This window comes from Homo sapiens, chromosome 17 (assembly GCF_000001405.40).
Source record: "Homo sapiens chromosome 17, GRCh38.p14 Primary Assembly".
Lineage (NCBI taxonomy): Eukaryota > Metazoa > Chordata > Mammalia > Primates > Hominidae > Homo > Homo sapiens.
In genome coordinates this window covers 47,646,267-47,668,578 of record NC_000017.11, presented here as the reverse complement: position 1 = coordinate 47,668,578, position 22,312 = coordinate 47,646,267, and the positions used below count along the sequence as shown (strand labels likewise).

At 44.7% G+C, this 22,312-nt stretch overlaps 1 protein-coding gene and 1 long non-coding RNA gene across 5 annotated transcripts in view, besides 9 other annotated features; one reads left to right on the top strand and one right to left on the bottom strand.

Annotated features, from left to right (window-relative positions):
• The window catches only part of KPNB1 (karyopherin subunit beta 1), a 35,587-nt gene extending 16,927 nt beyond the window's left edge, over positions 1-18,660 (bottom strand). Inside the window, exons 1-10 of one of the 2 annotated variants that reach the window (NM_002265.6) lie at positions 18,295-18,660; positions 18,135-18,193; positions 15,703-15,885; positions 11,519-11,719; positions 9,919-10,071; positions 7,401-7,460; positions 5,401-5,490; positions 4,310-4,420; positions 3,421-3,522; positions 169-393 (exon numbers count right to left, since the gene is read on the bottom strand). In NM_002265.6, coding sequence (NP_002256.2) covers positions 169-393; positions 3,421-3,522; positions 4,310-4,420; positions 5,401-5,490; positions 7,401-7,460; positions 9,919-10,071; positions 11,519-11,719; positions 15,703-15,885; positions 18,135-18,193; positions 18,295-18,334 — 1,224 coding nt within the window. In that variant the 5' untranslated portion in view covers positions 18,335-18,660. Of the gene's footprint in view, positions 1-168; positions 394-3,420; positions 3,523-4,309; positions 4,421-5,400; positions 5,491-7,400; positions 7,461-9,918; positions 10,072-11,518; positions 11,720-15,702; positions 15,886-17,202; positions 17,515-18,134; positions 18,194-18,294 lie in introns of those variants that run through there. The other variant, NM_001276453.2, reaches the window with a different exon arrangement.
• Positions 4,671-4,740: an enhancer, noted in NCBI's record as "active region_12314". NCBI's record gives its function as "activates an Ori minimal core promoter by ATAC-STARR-seq in GM12878 lymphoblastoid cells {active_cell/tissue: GM12878}" and the evidence as "EXISTENCE:reporter gene assay evidence [ECO:0000049][PMID:35858748]".
• Positions 8,272-8,421: an enhancer, noted in NCBI's record as "active region_12313". NCBI's record gives its function as "activates an Ori minimal core promoter by ATAC-STARR-seq in GM12878 lymphoblastoid cells {active_cell/tissue: GM12878}" and the evidence as "EXISTENCE:reporter gene assay evidence [ECO:0000049][PMID:35858748]".
• Positions 17,640-17,689: a silencer, noted in NCBI's record as "silent region_8635". NCBI's record gives its function as "represses an Ori minimal core promoter by ATAC-STARR-seq in GM12878 lymphoblastoid cells {active_cell/tissue: GM12878}" and the evidence as "EXISTENCE:reporter gene assay evidence [ECO:0000049][PMID:35858748]".
• Positions 17,990-18,129: a silencer, noted in NCBI's record as "silent region_8634". NCBI's record gives its function as "represses an Ori minimal core promoter by ATAC-STARR-seq in GM12878 lymphoblastoid cells {active_cell/tissue: GM12878}" and the evidence as "EXISTENCE:reporter gene assay evidence [ECO:0000049][PMID:35858748]".
• Positions 18,240-18,309: a silencer, noted in NCBI's record as "silent region_8633". NCBI's record gives its function as "represses an Ori minimal core promoter by ATAC-STARR-seq in GM12878 lymphoblastoid cells {active_cell/tissue: GM12878}" and the evidence as "EXISTENCE:reporter gene assay evidence [ECO:0000049][PMID:35858748]".
• Positions 18,740-18,919: a silencer, noted in NCBI's record as "silent region_8632". NCBI's record gives its function as "represses an Ori minimal core promoter by ATAC-STARR-seq in GM12878 lymphoblastoid cells {active_cell/tissue: GM12878}" and the evidence as "EXISTENCE:reporter gene assay evidence [ECO:0000049][PMID:35858748]".
• Positions 18,930-18,979: a silencer, noted in NCBI's record as "silent region_8631". NCBI's record gives its function as "represses an Ori minimal core promoter by ATAC-STARR-seq in GM12878 lymphoblastoid cells {active_cell/tissue: GM12878}" and the evidence as "EXISTENCE:reporter gene assay evidence [ECO:0000049][PMID:35858748]".
• Positions 18,990-19,259: a silencer, noted in NCBI's record as "silent region_8630". NCBI's record gives its function as "represses an Ori minimal core promoter by ATAC-STARR-seq in GM12878 lymphoblastoid cells {active_cell/tissue: GM12878}" and the evidence as "EXISTENCE:reporter gene assay evidence [ECO:0000049][PMID:35858748]".
• Positions 19,151-22,312, top strand: part of KPNB1-DT (KPNB1 divergent transcript) — a 27,902-nt gene continuing 24,740 nt past the window's right edge. For 2 of the 3 annotated variants that reach the window (NR_171700.1, NR_171699.1), the window contains exon 1: positions 19,151-19,183. This is a non-coding gene — a long non-coding RNA (KPNB1 divergent transcript). Of the gene's footprint in view, positions 19,184-19,249; positions 19,436-22,312 lie in introns of those variants that run through there. The other variant, NR_171701.1, reaches the window with a different exon arrangement.
• Positions 19,660-20,505: an enhancer, noted in NCBI's record as "H3K27ac-H3K4me1 hESC enhancer chr17:45725440-45726285 (GRCh37/hg19 assembly coordinates)". NCBI's record gives its function as "activates a minimal SCP1, AML or CMV promoter by ChIP-STARR-seq in naive H9 embryonic stem cells {active_cell/tissue: H9 hESC(naive)}" and the evidence as "EXISTENCE:reporter gene assay evidence [ECO:0000049][PMID:30033119]".

The window sequence follows — 22,312 nt, the reverse complement described above, 5'->3', positions numbered from 1 at the left end:
GTAATTAAAAACCTAAGAAATATATTTTACCCTCATTAAAAGTAAACAAGTATCTAGAGATAATCTTTGTAGATGACAATTTACAGTTTTGTTTTGAAAAATAAAGATATGCTTTAAGTTTAAACAATAAATATCCTACTTTCTACTCCAAAAATCCCTCAGTTTCACCTGTATAACTAGTGGTTTGAGCTGACTGGGCTCTGGTCCTTCCAAGATACAACCAAAAGCCATCACTGCTGCATCCCGGTACCGCCAATCTGGGTTCTTGATGTGTTCTTTAATGAAGGGGAGGACATGTGGGACAATGTCATCTTCACAGCAGGTGGCCAGAAGCATGAGGCACACCCCTGCTGCTTTGCAGGGGTTCCAGTCATCGTCATCATCATTTTCGTCCTGGTGAAAGAATATGGCACTAGTTAAGATTTTGTCCAAAGAATCATTTTAACTCTAAAGGTCCTCTGACTACTCTTGAATGTCTTTAGAACTTAAACTCCAGGGAAATAAAATATAAGACCTTTATATTTTGTCTCTTCCACAAACATTCATCACAGCATAGCCTTTGTTAAACAAGATTCAGATGGAAGAAGATTCCATTTAGTACTACACAACAAGAATGAAAAAATTTCAACTACATCCAAAAAGAATGAATTCCAAACATTTAGAACAAAATACAGAACTAGAATGTATGCTGTATGATTCCAGTTATGTAAAGTCCAAAATCGGCCAGGCGCGGTGGCTCATGCCTGTAATCCCAGCACTTTGGGAGGCTAAGGTGGGTGGATCACCTGAGGTCAGGAGTTTGAGACCAGCCTGGTCAACATGGTGAAACCCCATCTCTACTAAAAATACAAAAATTAGCTGGGTGTGGTGGCACGTGCCTGTAGTCCCAGCTACTCAGGAGGCCAAGGCAGGAGAATTGCTTGAACCTGGAAGGCGGAGGTTGCAGTGAGCCGAGATTGTGCCACTGTGCTCCAGCCTGTGTAACAGAGTGAGACTCTGTCAGAAAAAAAAAAAAACATAGTATTAAAAATAATAATAAATAAAGTCCAAAATCAACAAAAATTAACCTATGGAATAAAAGACCAGGAAAGTAAGGGAGTTTCATGACTGGGAAGAAGACATGATTCAATCAAAAGTTCAAAAAAGAGGCAAGGTGCAGTGCAGTGGCTCATGCCTGTAATCCCAGCACTTTAGGAGGCCAAGGCAGGCAGATCACTTGAGGTCAGGACTTCGAGACCAGCCTGGTAAACATGGTGAAACCTCGTTTCTACTAAAAATACAAAGACTAGCTGGGTATAGTGGCACACACCTGTTAATCCCAGCTACTCGGGAGGCTGAGGCAAGAGAATCACATGAACCAGGGAGATGAAGGTTGTAGTGAGCCAAGACCGCCCCACTGCACTCCAGCCTGGGTGATAGAGCAAGACTCTGTACCCCCCAACGCCACCCCAAAAAACCAAAAACCAAAACCACAAAAGTTCAAAAAAGAAAAGATTCCACTAATATCTCCTCTTAAGTTAGAATCCAAGGTATAGCTTCCTAATTGTGGCCATTCACACCACATAGTAAACTTAAGGCAGGTTGCCTATGCAGTTTCAGAAAATCACACAAAGAATAATTTGTTCTCAAATAGGAAAAGCACAATAAAAATATAAGAAAGGAGGCCGGGTGCAGTGGCTCATGCCTGTAATCCCAGCACTTTGGGAGACTGAGGTGGGCGGATCATGAGGTCAAAAAATCGAGATCATCCTGGCCAACATGGTGAAACCCCGTCTCTACTAAAACTACAAAAATTAGCTAGGCGTGGTGGTGCATGCCTGTAGTCCCAGCTACTCAGGAGGCTGAGGCAGGAGAATCGCTTGAACCCAGGAGGCGGAGGCTACAGTGAGCCGAGGTCGCACCACTGCACTCCAGCCTGGCAACAGAGTGAGACTCTGTCTAAAAAATAAATATATATAATATATATAAAATATATATAATTATATATAATATGTAGTACATATAAAATATATAACATATAACATAATATATAATATATAATATATAACATAATACATATAAAATATAATATATAACATTATATAAAATATATAATATATAACATTATATAAAATATATATAACATAATATATAAAATATATAATATATATATAAAATACACACACACACACACACACACACACAAAAGTAAAGACACGAAGTCAAAAGATAAAAATAGCAACTATAGGCCAGGCACAGTGGCTCACGCCTATAATCCCAGCACTTTGGGAAGCTGAGGCGGGCGGATCACTTGAAGTCAGGAGTTCGAGACCAGCCTGGCTAACATGGCAAAACCCCGCTTCTACTGAAAATATAAAAATTAGCTGGGCGTGGTGGTGCGCACCTGTACTTCCAGCTACTGGGGAGGCTAGAGTGGGACACTGCTTGAACCCAGGAGGCAGAGGGTGCACTGAGCCAAGATCATGCCATGACACTCCAGCCTGGGAGACAGAGTATGACTCCATCTCAAAACAAAAGAAAAAACAAAAACAAAAACAAAAAAACCCTGAGAGGAGAGATGAAAATTAAGGGAACACCCAGTTCATTTTAATCCAAACACATCCCTACTTAGCTTTTGAAACTGCTATATTGAGAATTATACACATCCCTAAAAACAATTACATTCCTGTGTACAAAGAAATGATGCAATGCTCAGTTACCAACATTGTTTCGTCAGAGTACTAGCAGCTCTTTGGTAATACTTCACATGCACCAGAAGAAGCTTCCCAAATACCGTATCAAAAAACACTGTGTTGCATCAAGTCAGGAGAACAAAAGCAACCAGGACACGGTCCTCATAAAAGAACTTCTATATTTACTCATTAGACCCCAATCTTTATGAAGTCTTGTCACTTTACTTTCATCCTGAATCTTAATAATTGAAGTTAATTATCTTAAAGGATCAGTAGAAGGGTTTCTTTCTTGGGTTGGGGTCCTTCATTAGCATCTGAATAACTTATATCCAACTTCCTTAGAATTTTAAAAACATACACCCTGTGAACTCACGAAAGTATCCTGGATATTACAACAGATACGCAAGTGGCCTAAAACCAGCACATCTTTGCTCCTAACCTTGCTTCACTGAAGCTTTGACAGAGCACCTTTCTTTTATGAGTTTGGACAATGGAGCACTCAGGAAATCAGAGCAGCATGTGGCTCATTCCTGAGCAAGATGCATCTGAGATGTTAAGACTCAGTTCTCCTTCACAAAGAAGTCAGAGCCTAGGGGATCTTATAGATGCAGCTTAGCTGTTTCTAAGTCATCAACAACAGAACATCAAATAGTTGATGGGCTGCGAAGTTCCTTCCATGGAAAGTTTCCACAGTTTACTCTTAGTAAGGTTCCACAGCTTACCTACCTATATTTGGAAGGTAACTCACCTGTTTAGTTAGTGTCTGTGTGAGGATTGGAACCAGATACTGTAGTGCTCCCTTCGCATAAAACTTGCTGGTGTGCTCAGGGGGCCGTCCTTGTTCTGCTGCCTGAGGAGAAACAAAGCAAATTCTAGACAAAAGCAACCGAGCTCTGTATACTAAAGGCATACAATGAGAGCCGAACAGGGATCTCTTAACAGAAACAGAAACATACAAGGACAAATGGTAACATACAATGTGATCTTGGAAAGTGCTAATTTTTTGGTCTACTTCAGTGAGAATCTTTTAGGCCATATAATATAGGTCCAAGGCAACATTAAGTATAACTTTTTTTTCATAAGTTCAATTCATATGGACAACCTGATATTTCAGTGTTCCTTGGATCAACACACACTCAGTTTGCCTAAAGATGCCAAAAAAAACCTTTTTATTTTTGTCCTGAAATAAAAGTGTGTAAAGACCAAGCTGGAAACAAAACTTGAATTCAAAGATCCCAAGTACAGAACTCCCCATTCTCTTCCATATCTGACTCTTTCACCAGAGTTAGTAAAGTATCAATTATACATCCTAGGCTTGCATTAGGACTTCCAAAAGGAAATAATTCAGCATCAGGCATCACCTTGGTAAACTGCGACAGCCTGCTGCCCCCTTGTGTTCACAGTGATAATACCACTATTTACGATCAATCATGCCTGACTGCTTGGCAAGAACGTGAGCCCTCATTACTGATGTGCCTCCTTCATGAAGGGCTCTGGCTAGCAGAAAAATCAAAATCTCTGCCAATGGAGATACCCTCTAAACCCAGACAGAATAAAGTTCTCCTAGAAGGGGAACATCATCCACAAATGAGATATGTCCCAAAGCGTATTCAGAGTAATAGTTCTCCCCAGCTCACCTCTGAAGCTTCAATGGCCAAATCCATTTCCTCATCACAGACATTGGACCAGAATTCTATCCCTTGTAAAGCCACCTCATCAATGTCACTTTTCATTGCTTCGATTGTGATCTTAAGAAGAAAAACACCCCAGGCCCCAAATAAGTACTGATTCAAGTGAGTCCCTGCCCCAACCCGGCTTTAACCACAGACATGCAAATTTCAGAAATGTAACTATAAAAAGGAAGCTAGGCTTGAAAGAAAAGATAGGAAAAGAAAGATTTTCTTTTCTTTTTTTTTTTTTTGGTGATGGGGTCTCACTCTGTCACACAGGCTGGAGTACAGCAGCACAATCTCAGCTTACTGCAACCTCCACCTCCCAGGCTCAAACAAACCTCCCACCCCAGCCTCCTCCATAGGTGGGACCACAAGTGCATGCCACCTCACCCAGCTTATTTTTGTATTTTTTGTAGAGGCGGGGTTTCACCATATTGCCTAGGCTGGTCTCAAACTCCTGGACTCAAGCGATCTGTCAGTCTCAGCCTCCCAAACTGCTGGGATTACAGGCGTGAGCCACCATGCCCAGCCTCAGATTTTCAAAATGCAGGTTGTTTCTTTTTTCTTTTTGAGACAGAGTCTCGCTTTCTGGCCCAGGTTGGAGTGCAATGGCGTGATCTTGGCTCACTGCACCCTCCGTCTCCTGGGTTCAAGCGATTCTCCAGCCTCAGCCTCCAGAGTAGCTGGGATTACAGGCACGTGCCACCACGTTCAGCTAATTTTTGTGTTTTCAGTATAGACGGGGTTTCACCATATTGGCCAGGCTGGTCTCGAACTCCTGACCTCAGGTGATCTGCCCACCTCAGCCTTCCAAAGTGCTGGGATTACAGGCGTTAGCCACCGGGCCTGACCTCAAAATGAAGGTCTTTTACCCACACAAAGTTAGCACCAGTTTTCTTGGCACACCACTGATGAGCTTAAACCGAACAGTCTCGAGGAATTTCCTTGATTCCATAGTATTAAGTAAAATATTACAGAATTGGCAAAATAGCGACTAAGGATGATGGGCTCTGTAATTAGCCACAAGCTCAAATCACATAAATAGAAATACTTACTGCAAAAAGAGCAGGACCCATATATGTCTCCATGTACTGATAATATAAGGACATTATCTTCACCAGATTCTGTAAAGCAGCCACTCGTACCTTTTATGAACAGCAGATCAGATAGTTTACTAAAATAACAACGCAATCTGACAAAGTTAGATTCACTCAAATGGGCCAATAATCCTAAGGATTAATTGAGGTAAATATGGGATACGTTATCATTTCCCTAAAATTCATTCTCTCCCTTTAATTCCCTCATTATCTGTTCCTTTATTTTCCCATTTTGTCTCTCTTTTTCGGGGAAGGGACAGAGTTCCGCTCCTGTTGCCCAGGCTGGAGTGCAGTGGCATGATCTTGGCTCACTGCAACCTCTGCCTCCCCGATTCAAGCAATTCTCGTGCCTCAGCCTTCCAAGTAGCTGGGACTACAGGTGCCCGCCACCATGCCCGGCTAATTTTTTGTATTTTTAGTAGAGACGGGGTTTTGCTATGTTGACCAGGCTCATCTCGAACTCCTGAGCTCAGACAATCCACTCACCTCGGCCACCTAAAGTGCTAGGATTAAAGGTGTGAGCCACTGCGCCCGGCCATTTTTCTCTTTTTTTTTTTTTTGAGACAGTCTTCTTGCTCTGTCGCCCTGGTGCAAGTATAGTGGCCATGATCACGGCTCACTGCAGCCTCAACCACCAGGCTCAAGCAATCCTCCCACTTCAGCCTCCCACGTAGCTAGGACTACAGGCTCGCCCCATCACGCACAGCTAATCTTTGTGGACATGGAGTTTCGCCATGTTGCCCAGACTGGTCTCCAACTCCTGGGCTCAAGTGATCCTCTGGCCTCGGTCTCCCAAAGTGCTGGTATTATAGGTGTGAGCCACCACAGCCAGTCCTTTTTTTTTTTGAGATGGAGTCTCCCAGGCTGGAGTGCAGTGGTGTGATCTCAGCTCACTACAACCTCCGCCTCCCGGGTTCAAGCAATTCTCCTGCCTCAGCCTCCTGAGTAGCTGGATTACAGACATGCGCCTGTAAAGTGTTGGGATTACAGGCGTAAGCCACCGCGCCTGGCCTCAGTCTTTTTTTTTGCATTAAAGGTGCGTGTGGAACCCATGGTACGGCTAAATTCACTAATACTATTCAGACTGAAGATATTACTTCTATCTTCTTGAAGGGTCAGGTTTTGGGTATAGCAATAGCAAAGCTGCTTTAATGGCTACAGGGGAAAACAATCACTTGAATAACCTATGGCAATAAAGTAGCAAAGCTGATCAAAAACCTTTTCTCCCTTAACTGTTTGTGTATATATATTTTTTAGTAGAAATGGCTTGAATAACCTACGGCAATGAAGTAGCGAAGCTGATCGAAAACCTTTTCTCCCTTAACTGTTTATTTGTGTATACATATTTTTTAGTAGAGATGGTGTCACTATGTTGCCCAGTTTGGTCTCCAACTCCTGACCTCAGTGATCCTCCTGCTTTGGCCTCCCAAATTGCTGGGATTATAGTGTGAGCCACCACACTGGCACCTTAAACCTTTTTTAAGAGGATGGCAACTTCCATGACAATTCTTCCCTCTTCTCTAATGTTTTTATTAATTATCATTATTATTTTTTGAGATGGAGTCTGTTTGCAGTGGCATGATCTTGGCTCACTGCAACCTCCACCTCCCAGGTTCAAGCGATTCTTGTACCTCAGCCTCCCCAGCAGCTGGGACTACAGGCACGTGCCACCACACCCAGCTAATTTTTTTTTATTTTTAGTAGAGACAGGGTTTCACCATGTTGGCCAGACTGGTATGAAACTCCTAACCTCAGGTGAACTGCCTGCCATGGCCTCCCTAAGTGCTGGGATTACAGGTGTGAGCCACCATGCCCAGCCAGAATATTAATTATTAGTAACAATATTAATCAAACCTTATTGCTGAAGTCAACTGATTCCCAGTATTTCAAACTTATATTAGATTTGACATTTCCTAAGAAAGATGTAAGACAGATTTTTCATATAACCTCACACTTACCCTCGTATCTGGACACTGTGTGGCTTCACAGACCACCTGCATAATAAAGTGCCTTTCAGACTGTAGGAGGAATAAAAATAAAGAGAATTAGGAGAGCATAACCTGTACGTAGGAAGATTTCCAGACTCCCTCTACAAGGAAAACCTCTCACTCCCCCTCAGGGCCCCACACAGCCCTGCCTGGTACAATCAAGCCACTCTCCCTTGAGATGGTACAGCACTATAAAGGCTATAAAGAGTTTACCTTCGGTGTCTGCTATGTGACTTGCCCTCCAATGAGGTCCCTAATCTTTTAATCTCCAAAATGACCACTAACAAAGACTTCAGGGAGGAAACAGAAAAATGTAGGTCACAAGTTTTAAATAAAAATGGTTAAAAGATAAAAATTTACATGTAGGAAAATCAGTTTCCTTATATAAGAGAATTCAAAACATCTGCTTTATTTCAGAGACCAAATTTGTTTTCTGAGAGGTAGCAAATTCACATCAAATGTGGTGAGAAAAGGGAGAATGAACTTTATGTGCTACCCTCCTAAATCTTCCAAAATCTATTAAGGAAAAATCCAGTTTTCTAATCAATTAGAATTGCCATTTGCTCTGGGGTTTCAGACCTTTCCAAAGTCAAGAAATGGTAAAAACCCAGCTGAAGTGTCAACAAACATATATACAGAAATACTTTCAGACCATGACCCTGGCAATTTTACTTGTCGGTATTTACCCTAAAGAACTGAAAGCAGAGTCTCAAAGATACACATGCATGCCCATGTTCATAGCAGCATTACCCACAATAGCCAAAAGGTGGATGCAAACCAAATGGCCATGGATGGAAGACTAGATAAACAAAATGTGGCATATACATATAATGGAATATTAATCACCCTTAAAAAGCCAATTTTGACAAATGCTACCCCTTAGATGAATCTCGAGGACATCATACTAAGTAAAACAAACCAGTCGCAAAAAGACAAATATGATTCCACTTACGTAAGGTATTTCGTTAGAGTAGTAAAATACATAGAAACTGAAAGTAAAATGGTCGTTACCAGTGGCTGAGAAAGGGGGAAATGAGGAGTTGTTGTTCAGTATGTACAGTTTCAGTTTTGCAAGATGAAAAAGTTCTGGAGATTGTTTCCACAGCAATGTGAATCTACTTAACTAACTATACATTTAAAAATGATTTAAGATGGTAAATTTTATGTTATTCATTGCATTTTCAGCCAAAATGTTTACATATATATTATACATACACATACATATACATATATATATATTTTTTTTTTTTGGAGACAGAGTCTTGCACTGTTGCCCAGGCTGAAGTACAGTGGTGAAATCTTGAGCCTTGAACTCCCAGGCTCAAGTGATCCTCCCACCTCAGCTTCCCAAGTAGCTGGGATTACAGGCATGTGCCAAAGCACCTGGCTATATATCCTGTTTCTTAAAAACACCTTCCTAAGGTGGTATGAAACAGACCAATTGCTATAATTTTTATTTATTTCATTTTTCATTATTTTTTTTCCATTATAAGCCCTGTAAACACAAGAGCTCACAAAACTGGTTAACAACTCAGTTGTTCTTCTCCACAGAAATTTTTTTAGAGACAGGGTTTTGTTACGTTGCACAGGCTAGTCTCAAACTCCTGGCTTCAAGTGATCCTCTTGCCTTGGTGGCCCAAAGTGTTGGGATTACTGGATGTGAGCCCCAGCACCCGGCCTCCACAAAATCTTTAGTACAAGGCAAAAGATTCACACAATCTTAAAAGAAACCAAAGTAAACCAACATATATAGTACATACCATAATTTCTTTCTTTTATTTTTTTTATTTTTTATTTTTTTTGAGACAGTCTTGCTCTGTCGCCCAGGCTGGAATACAGTGCTGCAATCTCGGCTCACTGCAACCTCTGCCTCCCAGGTTCAAGTGATTCTCCTGCCTCAGCCTCCTGAGTAGCTGGGATTACAGGCGCACGCCACCACACCCGGCTAATTTTTTTGTATTTTTAGTAGAGATGGGGTTTCACCATGTTCGTCAGGCTGGTCTCAAACTCCTGACCTGATGATCCACCCGCCTCAGCCTCCCAAAGTGCTGGGATTACAGGCTTAAGCCACATCGCCCAGCCTATTCCTTTCTTTTTTTTAAGGGACGATATCTGACTTTGTTGCCCAGGCTGGCCTTGAATAACTGGACTCAAGCAATCCTCCCGCCTTAGCCTCTGAAGTAGCTGGAGTACCAGTATGCACCACCATGCCCTATAATTTAAAAAAACCCAACAACATTCCACACTTTGGACTGCAAAAGGAAAAACCTAAGCTTAGAAACACTTTATTTCCAAAAGCATGATGAGAAACGGCAAACACTCCATGGGGATATCTCACACAATACGAACTCGACTAAACTGGAAACAAATACTTTTAAGTAGGTGGTACTTTCTAAACCATAAACTTAAGAAAACAAAACAAAAAACTTTCATTCAACTCTTTCATCCCTTACTGTCTGAATCTATACCTTATTGTCAAAAAACTTACCTCTTTATCAAAGTTTGCTTTGGTGAACTCCAATGAGTTCAGGAGTGCATTCGTAGCAGCTAGCTTCACATTATTACTAGGCTCTTCTTTCCTCATCCCCTGGATTATGGCAGTCAGAATCTCATTGGATTTATCTTGTAGCTGCTCTGGGTCCTGTAACAAGCAGAGAAGTGCAATGAATATACAGTCAGCCCTCTGCAGCCATGGGTTCCACATCTGTGGATTCAAACAACTATGGATTGAAAATATTTAGAGGAAAAAAAATGGATGGTTGCATCTGTACTGCACCAAAAGGTGCATGTACACCTTTTTTTCTTGTCATCATTCCCTTAATACAGTATACCAACTATTAATATAGCATTTACATTGAATTAGGTATTGTAAGTATTCTAGAGATGATTTAAAGTATATGGGAGGATGTGCATAGGTTATATGCAAATACTACACCATTTTATGTAACAGACTTGAACATCTGAGGATTTTGGTACCTGAGGAGGGTGCTGGAATCAATCCCCTCCAAAAGACTGCCATAAGGAGCTTCACGACAGAAGCAGTCCTTCTTCTGTTCTTAAGAGACAGGGTCTGTATTGCCCAGACTAAAGTGCAGTGGCTATTCACAGGCACTACCACAATGCACTGAACCCTCAAATTCCTGGGTTCAAGTGATCCTCCCACCTCAGCTTCCCAAGCAGCTGGGACTACAGGTGTAAGCCACTGTGCCTGGCTTAATTGGCAGTCCTTTTAACTGTAAAGTTCACTCAAGAAAGTATCATGAATTGGTGATCTTTCCCCACCCGTTTCCATTTGGGAATAACACTGCAAACCACCTGCAAAATGTCTCATGGTACTGGCAATCCAGAACTGAACAAAACCAAGTCAAACTCATCAACTTCATCTTTGACTTCTTAGCATAATGACTCTGGGTATGAGGTAATATTCGCTTTCCTCCCCACTTCTGTGCAAATGGAGATGGCAGTCTGTTCGTATTTTCCAGGCCATCTGTACTCTAAAGTAAAGCTTCAGGGCATTTAAGGGCCAAGGCCAAGGATCGACACCTAGGCACATCTAGGGAGTCTAAGTCTGGGTCAAGTGCTGTGGGCTCCTTTGCTTCATAAAGTCTATATATTAAAATACACACCAAGAGTGGTAACCTCATCAGGAACAACAGTGCTGGGGGGGCTACATCTAAAATACTGTGTCTCCAGTGGCTAAACCAACTACATCAAATGTTGGCAAAACTTTCCGTAATGTTGTAAATGAAAATGCGCCACAACATTCATGGTACATTCGGGATCTTAAGAAAAAAGACTGGGTCAGGGATAATCCAAATGAGAATATCCTCATTTTGTAAGTCTAGAATCTAAGACTCTTCAAACATAGACTTCTGTTTTCAGTTTGCGATCCTCAAGTTTCTTTACTTTAGGGCATGATTAGCAATGTGAAGACACAGGCCTAAGGGAAATAAATCAGTCTCACTTTCAAAACTGTGCAATTTAGCTTGGCTTTCTTCGTGATTCAATAAGGTAGTACTAATATCATTGATGTCACAGCTAGAGGCAATCAGAGGTATATAAACCAGATACATTAGGCAAGCACTTACTATATCTTGGCAAATATAACCGATGGCTTCCAATGTCGACTCCTTCATGTGCTCTGTGCTGTTGGGGTTTGTGACATTGGCCACCAGCTGAGGAATGAGTTCTGGCCACTGGTTTACTGGGATCTCTGCACAAGCAATACCAGCCACACACTGTGAGGCAGAACTAGGCCGGTAAGTTTCTGTACCCAATGTCTGCAAAACCTGCACCAAAAAAAAAGACAAAAGATACAAATTTCTAACACTATTTGACCACATTTTGCCCACCACCATACTTATATTAGTGTCTCTGAATTCTTTTTTTTCTTTCTTTCTTAAGACAGGGTCTCACTATGTTGCCCGGACTGGAGTGCAGTGGCACGATCACAGCTCACTGTAGCCTCAATCTCTACGGTGCAATCTATCCTCCCGCCTCAGGCTCCTGAGTAACTGAACTACAGGGGTGGATATGCTGACATGCCCAGCTATCTTTTGTTGAGACAGGGCATCACCATATTGCCCAGGCTCAAAAAAAAAAAAAGGAAAATACAAGGCCTCAGTCAGTTGTCCAGGGTGGAGTGTAGTAGCAAAACGATAGTGCAATGGCACAACGATACTGCAGCCTTGACCTCCCAGGCCTCCCTGAGTAGCTTAGACTACAGGCACATGCCATCACACCCAGCTAACTTTTTTGGGTTTTTAGTAGAGATGGGGGTCTCCCTATGTTGCCCAGGCTGGTCTCAAATTCCTGGCCTCCCAAAGTGCTAGGATTACAGGTGTGAGCCACTGTGCCCAGGCAGCTGTCTCAGAATTCTTTTTTTTTTTGAGACAAAGTCTCGCTCGTGTCCCCCAGGCTGGAGCATGATGGCGCGATCTCGGCTCACTGCAACCTCCGCCTTCTGGGTTCAAGCGATTCTCCTGCCTTAGCTCCCCCCAGCAAGTAGCTGGGATTACAGGTGCCTGCCACCATGCCCGGCTAGTTTTTGTATTTTTAGTAGAGATGGGGTTTCACCATGTTGGCCAGGACAGTCTCAAACTCCTGACCTCAGGTGATCCACCCACCTCGGCCTACCAAAGTACTGGGATGACAGGCGTGAGCCACTGTGCCTGGCCTCAGAATTCTTATCTATAATACGGAGAAGTAGGAAAGGCTGTCAGAAAAAACCAGCCTCAGTAGCAACATCAGCATAATCAACACTGCCCTAGAACCTAGAAACAAAACCAGTCATCCCACCTCACTTCAACCTTCAACACGAGGTGGGAAACCAGAAGTTACAAGAGGAGGTAGCAGTAAATGGCAAAGGAGAGAGATGGGGACAAAACTCATCTTCCAGGCTCATTGTTGCTGTTATAAGGAAAGGATGTTCACACCCTCGTTTTGTAGACAGACATGGACACTAGAATGAAGCTAGTTCTGGGGCATTCAGGTGGGTCTTATTCACAGTAGATCACTGTCTAATCTGATCCAAGGAGATCTTACTCATGAGACGTGGGCTGAAACAAAACTTTTTCCTTCTAATCACTAACAACTCAGCATTCGGGGTGACTTACATAGAAAGGCCTTGGTCAAGTAACAACATCACTAAATACAAAAACAACGTTGCTGATGTTAATAACACCTATGAACTAATCTTTATATAACTTCCAATCTGAAAGGATTTGTTCTGTTTGCCCAAGAATCAAAGAACTGTTCTATCACTGACAGATACCAAAATCTAGCCAGATGTCAAAACAAGATCCACTTGTCATTAAACATGTCTCGCTTGACATGGTAACCACGCCACCATTTATGTAAAGAGTAAAGGCACAGGTATGATAAAAGATGAAGCCACAATTGACCTAGAGCTAATTATTACCGTGATCAGCTAATTCAGTCAATGAACTCACTAAGAATCAGTAGTCCACTCAAAGGCAAACAGTTAACTGTTCTGGCATGAACACGGGACAAAGAATAGCTGCCAGATATTCAGGCCAGCTCTGCTGACTGGGTCGGATCACTTAGTATCCTGCTTTGCAGCTAGCACCAATAATGAACTCCCCCTTTCCTTCTTATACGGTATATCATCATCCCTGGCCCCCACCCCCATCAGCTCTACCCAACTACAAACAGTTCTGATTGATGTTAAATGAAAGGCTTTGCTCTCGAGGACTAGCAGAGCTAGAATGGACAAAAACGGTATGTCAAAGACACGAGGGAATGAGGGGGAAAAACAAGGTGAATTGTCCAAAATATCAGGGGCTGAATGGGTATTATTAACCCAAGTCCAGGGTGCCTTCACACCACACTACATAGTCTCCTAGTACATATGTGGAGTGCACTGAATCCCATTCTACCTTTACCTTTTTCCTTTAGATTGCTTTCTGAAGACTCCATATTACTTGAGGTGATTTAGAAACTACGGATGTCCACCTCCTGAGTACTAAAAGTTTTCTGTTTAAACTAGAGGTAACCTTAATAGTAATATTCAATTATCAGAAAAGAGAAACTAGCTCCCAATTGTGCCCCAATATCCAGATTTCAAAAAAGATCACCAACAGTGAAACTTAGTATTAGTTATCGTTGTGCTATGAAAGGGAAAAAGGCCAAGGTACTGTTAGCTTTTTTCTCATGCCCGAGGGCTTAACCATGCCTATACAAATTATCTAATTTTTTTTTTTTTTTTTTTTTTAAGAAATGGAGTGTCACTCTGTCACCCAGGCTGGAGTGCAATGCGCAATCTTGGCTCACCACAATCTCCGCCTCCCAGGTTCAAGCAATTCTCCTGCCTAAGCCTCCAGAGTAGCTGAGACTACAGGTATCCACCGCCACAGCCAGCTAATTTTTGTATTTTTAGTAGAGACAGGGTTTCGCCATGTTGGCCAGGCTGGTCTCGAACTCCTGACCTCAGGTGATCCACCCACCTCGGCCTCTCAAAGTGCTGGGATGACAGGCATGAGCCACTGCGCCCAGCCATTATTGTCTAATTTTTTTTTAAAGGGTTGGTGTTAAGAGTGATGTGCCAAAAAATAAGCCAATTACAATTCCAATTACATCTTATCCCATTTACTAGTGTGTAAATTAAGGAAGATGAGAAACTGAATGGGCACTATCAGTATCGAGATTTCCAGTGATAGAATATACTTCCATTTATGTCACTTAGCTGAGGGAGAAGGAATTAAAATGTTGTTATTACACAAGCAGAACCAACATGAATAGAAACAGCTCTACATGCTCCAAAACGATTTGAAACCAAGTTGGATTTAATAACCCGGCTCCTTATCATGGGTATGCAAGATTGGTGACAGAAGGAGGTACACAACCAGATACAGAAGTTACTGCCTTACAGGGCACTACTTTACCTAATGCTGATATCTAGAACCAGGAAATAGCAAGTATGATGTGCATAACCATGTCCTGCACAAGTACATATGTAGGAATTCCCCACTAGTTTCCACTCAAATACCAAGGACAAAATGATGACTGCACAGATATTTAACTCACTCCTCTTTGTGCCTTACCCATGTAAGACAGATCACTAAAGAACTTAATTTAAAAACAACAACAGCCAGGCGAGGTGGCTCACTCCTGTAATCCCAGCACTTTGGGAAGCCAAGGCAGGCAGATCACCTGAGGTCAGGAGTTCAAGACCAGCCTGGCCAACATGGTGAAACCCCGTCTCTACTTCAAGTACAAAAATTAGCTGGGCATGGTGGTGGGTGCCTGTAATCCCAGCTACTTGGGAGGCGGAGGCTGCAGTGAGCCGAGATCATGCCATTGCACTCCAGCCTGGGCAACAGAGCAAGACTGTCTCCAAAAAAAAAAAAAAAAAAAAATTCCCTGAGCTGTACTCCAGAAGTACCGAATCGGAATTTCTGGAGAGCTTGGAAATACCTATTAACAAATTCCCTAATTTTTATACAAATGTAGCACCAATTTGTACACTACTCCCATTTGCCAAACAGATTTTACCAATTATGGCACGTAATTAAAGTTTCCCAAACTGCTGCAGCCTACCTCAGTCATCTAAAAAGAATTCCAATCCATCAATGGGAATGGACAAGCTGTGTTGAGAAAGATTTAAGACAAAGACAATTTTTATCTTTAGGTAAAGTTGAGGTCCCAGAAACCTATCACACTGTTAGCTCTATCCCATGCAAATAGCAAAAGATCTGAGAAAGCGATTTCTTGTTCTCTGGGCAATATAACCAAACAGATAAGCGTTACTCACATAGTTCTTGACTTCTCGTCGAGCATTAGCATCAATAGCAAGCCACCTCTGCTGATATTGTGCCTTGATATCTGGATCTTTAGATGTCAAAGAGTTCTTGATTTGTAGACCAGCTGCAACTCTGGCAACCTGACTGTTTCCTGGATTTGCCAGCACTCTGGACAGTTCCACAAGGAAAGTGGGCTGTTAAGGGAAGATAAATTTGTAAATAAAAATATCTTAGGAATTTCCACAACTGAGGATAATTTATAGAGCACTGAACCACCAGAGGGGCGGCGAGGGGGGGAACTAATGTCTAATTTTTTTTTGATATAAGCATTTCAGGAAACCACAAAATATTTACTTCACTGACTTCTATAAAAATGTTACTTAGTGTAACAGGAAGTCTTCCACTTTTCTCGTGGAGCCTAGCACTTAATGAGGAATTACAGATTTCCCTATCAAGATCATTCTTAGTGCCCAAATTGTCATGTTAGACCCCCGAATTGCAAGGTTTCAGAGTATGGTAGTAGTAGTCAGTCTTCTATGTATACTGAGGTGTCCCAAGAACTTTTAATAATGTCTGGTACTCAATGTTTGTTAAATGAATGGCTGTTATGATGGGGGGTAGAAAATAAAACTGTTTATCTAAATTTCAAAAACCTTGGTCCCAAAAGAATGATCCAACTTTCCATCTCATGGCAGCAGCAGGGTAGCTTTTCAATCCATGGAAGGAGGTGATCTTTTATGAGAGGGGGAAATACAGATAAGCCTAAAACAAACTTAGGAGCCTCATCCTCCGTTTTATTTGTGGGCACTCAGCAAAAAGGGAACAATGAAAAAAGCAGATTTATAAGGAAAAGTGATAAGATATTTAGAAATAGGGAAAAAGTGAAAGAAAAAATCTTCAGGCAAGCTGTTCAAGCAAAATAACTTTGTATCTAATGATCAACAATTACTTGCTCCTTTACATTTGGACTTTAGTTGAGGAATACAGTGGATCCCTGAAAAGCATGTTCTTTTGTAACCTTTTGTAATCCACAGGCCTCAAAAACTACTCCCTTTGTTTAAAAATTTAGCACACACACACCTCTCCACCAAAAACCGTGCCCAAACAGCAAAGTTAGCAGGAAAAGTCAAAAGCAGACACATTTTTCTTACTGCTAACAAGCTCTGCAATCACAGCAGAAGATAATTCTTAAAAGTTTTATTAATTATGTACCACTAAAGAATGTTAAGAATGTTAGGAATAAGATAAAAAGCTTTTTGCAAAATTTGCAAAAGCAGAAACAGGAATAATACCCTAAATGGAATTATCAGCCTATACTAGTGGAAAAATCTCTTCTAGGAAAGGATAAACAGGTTAGTTGTAAAAATTGGCACATATGAAAAACAACAAAAAAATCATTCAAAGGCAGTCTGTATAAAATAAGCCTTGTCACTTTGTTGATGTTGACATTTTGCCTATATAACACAAAGGAACACATATGGTTAGTGTTACTCAGACTTAATTCCTATTACCTTTCTCAAAGATGTCAAGCATCATCCAATCCTTCCCTCTGACCCCATCCCCCAACAGGAGATGGACACCAAAGAGAAACTTAACTGGCATCTAGGCTGTTTCAACCAATCCATCCCACATTTTTATACAAAGGACCAGTCTCTAGCGGACTTAGCTTCATTTTCTCCGGACCCCTTAAATTTTAAAATATGAAAAACGAGGAACTTTCCCCTGTGATTTCATCAGCAAACAGGCCCCATCTCAAAGATGAGCCTCAGTCTGTTTTCTGGGTGCAGATCCCTAGTGATTAGGTCTCTATTCATCCAGGTCAGAAGAAAAAAAAAAAAGAAAGAAAGAAAAAGAAAAAACCCCAAGAGAGGAATAACCGAGCAAAGAGGGAAAAATATCAGTGGAAATGGGTTAAGAGGCAGTCGGGTGCCAGGCCTGGCCATGAGTACAGACCAAGGTAGCTAGGAAAGGGCAGAGCTCTAGGAAATAGGTGGGGAGAGCCACAGGGGCCACGGGATAGGAAGGAGAAGCCGGCCGGGGTCAGACAGGGCGGGCGGCCGGGCCCGGAGCTTCCACATGGCCCCTAGGCCCGACTCCCCCGCCCCCACCCCTGCTGAACACGCAGCGCCGCGCAACCTAACTTCCCTTCCCTCCCTCTTTCTCCCTCCCGCTGCACCGCCGCCCTCAGGCCGCGCAACGATTGGGCGGCAGGCAGCTCGGCGCGCCAAGCCATTGGCCAGTCGCGAGGCCCGGGGCGGGACACACCCACCGGCTTCCCGATGGCGGGGTTAGGTTGGACCGGGTTGGGGGGGGAGGGGGAGGGGGGAGGGGGACGGGATGGGGCGGGGTAGGTTCCCGAGGCCTGGGCCTCCGGGAGGGCGGGAAGGCCCCGCACGCAGGGGATGGGGACGCGGCGGGATGGGCGCGGCGGGGTAGCACGCACCAGGTTCTCCACGGCCGCACGCTCCAGGAACTTCTGCGCCGCTTCCAGCTCCAGCCGATCTAGGGGGAGGAAAGTGGGAGACGGAGCGGGGTCAGAGGGGCCGGGCCTCCCCTCCCCCACCCCAATCACCTCAGCCCTACCCCCGGCTCCTGCGTCCTACCGGGAGACACGGTCTTCTCGAGAATGGTGATCAGCTCCATGGCGGAGGTGGCGGCGGCGGCGACTCCTCCTAAGACGACGGCCCGGCCTTTCGGGCGGCGGCTCGAACTGGGGATGGGGGTTGGGGGTCGGGTGGGAAGGGAGGGTGGGGTGGGGGGCGGGGGTCACCACAAACCCATTCACCGGCTCTGTCTGGGTAGTCGGTCCGGCTCCCCTTCCTCTCCTCTTCCCTTACTTCCTCCCTCCAAATGGGCTGCTGGCGGCGGGGGAGGGACCCTGGGGGCAGCTCAGAGCGCGCTGGTGCTCGGGAGGCGGAGGGAGAAAGAAGGAAGGGAGGCTGTGAGTGAGAGGCGGCGCGCAGGGAGGGAGCGAGGGAGGGAGGAAGGCGGAGGGATATTCGGACCGGACCTCTCCGCGGAGGCGCCGCGCTCCACGACGATTGGCCGTTGTCCTGGCCACGCGGAATCCCTAACTGGCCAGGCGCTCAGCGTCGAAGGGCCGTCTCGCGCCCATTCGCCTGCTGGTTTCAAGGCCCGGGTTGGCTGGGCGGGCAGCGGAATGGAGCGCGCGGATTGGCCGAGGGGAGGGAGATTGGGATGGGGTAGGAGAGAGCCCGCCGTTGATTGGGTGGGCTTGGTAAAGGCCTTGAGCTCAGACCGGCTGAGCGCTGGGAGGAGGGTGGACCGGAGGCACGACTCGGATCCTGCGCGATTGGCTGGGATAGTAGGCGTTGATAGGATAGGGTGCCCGGGAGAACTAAGGAGAGGAGTTCGGGGTCGGGGCGCGGGAAGGCGGGAGGTGCCCGGCAACCCTAGGAGCCCGGCGCGGGGCACGATGGGACGCCCCCGGGAAGAGGCGGAGCTGGGTTCGAGCGCTGGGGCTGCGGTTGGGTAAGCGCCGTCGCTCCGAGGGGCGTGTTGCGCGAGGTTTTCGCGGGCCTGAGCGGGGGAGGGGGGACTGTTGAAGTCCTGCGCCGCGCCCACAGGAAGCTGCTTTAATGGCTAGGTCGGCTTGGTACCCTGCTTTCGGCTGGGAGGGATCCGTAAGGCCATGTGGCTCCACTGCCAATGTGTAGATGTGGAAACTGAAGCCCAGAGAGGGTATGGAACTTGTCCAAGGTCACACAGCTGGTTAATGGCTTGGTAAGGAATGGGTTCAGGAGCCCAGAGAGGGTCTGGAACTTGTCCAAGGTCACACAGCTGGTTAGTGGCTTGATAAGCTCAAGCTCTCCTGACGGCCCTTGTCCCTACAAGCAGCTTCCTCTCCAAGGAGTCCCCTAAGCCTGCTTATATGGGGCTTGAGACCTGTGCTGTGATAAATCTGACTTGCTTAGGGGTGAGCTAAGGGATTCCTCCTCTTAGACCCCCCATCCATAGCTACCAGGTACTTGACAGGATGGAAATGTTTCACCCTCCAAAAGTACCCTGTAAAGGCCCAACCTCGAACCAGAAAGAATGTGTGTACAGGAATAAAGGATTGTGGTTCTTAACCTGTTTCAGTTCTCAACCCCGGAAGAAACTCATGAATGCCTTTTCTTAGCAAAATGCATATAAAGAAAACGTGGGCCGGGCGCTGTGGCTCGCGCCTGTAATCCCAGCACTTTGGGAGGCCGAGGGGGGCGGATGACGAGTCAAGAGATCGAGACCATCCTGGCCAACATGGTGAAACCCCGTCTCTACTAAAATATAAAAAATTAGCCCGGTGTGGTGGCGCGTACCTGAAGTCCAAGCTATTCCTGAGGCTGAGGCAGGAGAATCGCTTGAACCCTGGACGCAGAGGTTGCAGTGAGCCGATATCGCGCCACTGCAGTCCAGCCTGGCGACAGAGCGAGACTCCATCTCAAAGAAAAGAAAAAAAATGTGCATACAGTATGTGGCTCAGGCCTGCAATCCCAGGACTTTGGGAGGATCGCTTGAGCCCAGGGGTTCAAGACTAACCTGGACAACTTAGCGAGATCCTGTCTCTTTTAAAAAAAATGAAGATTTTTAAAATGATAAAGGAAAAGTGTAATAATAGGGCCGGGCGCGGTGGCTCATGCCTGTAATCCCAGCACTTTGGGAGGCCGAGGCGGGCGGATCACTTGAGGTCAGGAGTTCAAGACCAGTCTGGCCAACATGGTGAAACCCTGTCTCTACTAAAAATACAAAAAAAAAAAAAAAACCTAGCCGAGCGTGGTGGCGCACGCCTATAATCTCAGCTCCTCAGGAGGCTGAGACAGAATCTCTTGAACCCGGGAGGCAGAGGTTGCAGTGAGCCAAGACTTCACCACTGCACTTCAGCCTGGGCGACAGTTAAGACTCTCAAAAAAAGAAAAAATAAATGGTAACAAAGAATTTCTTGAATTGTTTCATTTTCACAGTAATGATGTAGGGGTAATTGGATGTAGCTGGTTCATAGAGCTTTTTACCATATGACTTGAGCTTGTGAGGTAATTGCCCTGCAGTAGCCACACTGGGAAAACCTAGGAGGAAGTCTGACTTTGTTGAAAGGTTTCACAAAGAATTAGGAAAGATTGGCCAACTCTTTGTTAAAAGAGGAAGAAATGGTCTTTCTCTGCTAGAGATATCTTTGCAGTTTTGAAGCTAGAAATGTAGGGACACCATTCCTCACACCATACTGTGACTAGTGGATTTCCCATGGCTTAGCAGCTAACCCCAGCCTTTTGCTTCATCTATTAACTGTGGAAGAACTGCCCTGTGTGTGTAACTTTGTTATAAATCAGTGAAGATTGGGCCAGGGCGTGGTGGGTCACGCCTTTAATCCCAGCACTTTGGGAGGCTGAGGTGGGCAGATCAACTGAGGTCCGGAGTTAGAGACCAGCTTGGCCAACACAGTGAAACCCTGTCTCTACTGAAATACAAAATTAGCCGGGCGTGGTGGTGGGCACCTGCAATCAATCCCAGCTACTCAGTAGGCTGAGGCAGGAGAATTGCCTGAACCCGTGAGGCAGAGGTGGTAGTGAGCTAAGATTGCACCACCGCACTCCAGCCTGGGTGACAGAGCAAGACTCCATCTCAAAAAAAACCCACTGTACTCCAGCCTGGATGACAGCAAGACTCCATCTCAAAACAAAACAAAACAAAACAACACTGCATTCAGCCTGGGTGCCAGAGCAAGACTCCATTTCAAAAAAAAAGAAATCAATGAAGATTGGCCATGCGTGGTGGCTCACGCCTGTCATTGCAGTACTTTGGGAGGCTGAGGCTGGAGGATCTCTTGAGCCCAGGAGTTTGAGGCCAGCCTGACCAACATGGTGAAACCCTGTCTGTACTAAAAATACAAAAATTAGCCGGGTGTGGTGGTGGGAGCCTGTAATCCTAGCTACTTGGGAGGCTGAGGCAGGAGAATCACTTGAACCCAGAAGTCAGAGGTTGCAGTGAGCCGAGATTGCGCCACTGCACTCCAGCCTGGGCGACAGTGAGACTGTGTCCCCCCACCGCCGCTAAAAAGTCAATGAAGATTAAGTGAGATGACATCTGTGAAAATCCTGGAATTGTCCTTACCTGAGTTACCTACACTACAAATTATCCATAATTTGTTTCACTCAAGCTAACTTTCCCCTGCTCTCCAGCAGTTTGCTGGGCTACCTCTGTCTCAACATCAGTCATGATGATACCAGTGAGGGCAAATGGATTTTTAAAGCAACTGAAATAAGAGCAAAACCCTGTCTCTATACAATTTTCTTTCTTTCTTTCTTTCTTTTTTTGATACAGAGTCTCGCTTTCACCCGGGCTGGAGGGCGGTGGTGCCATCTCAGCTCACTGCAACCTCCGCCTCCCGGGTTCAAGCAATTCTCCTTTGCTCTTAGGATATAGACAAAACCACTTGCATGGCAGGCAAGGTCTTGTATGATCTTGCCTCCGCTCAGCACTAGCTCGACTCAATCCCTTGTTCTCAATCCCTTGTTTTCCCAAGTAGCTGGGATTACAGGTACCCACCACCACGCCCAGCTAATTTTTTTTATATTTCAGATGGGGTTTCACCATGTTGGCCAGGCTGGTTTCAAACTCCTGACCACA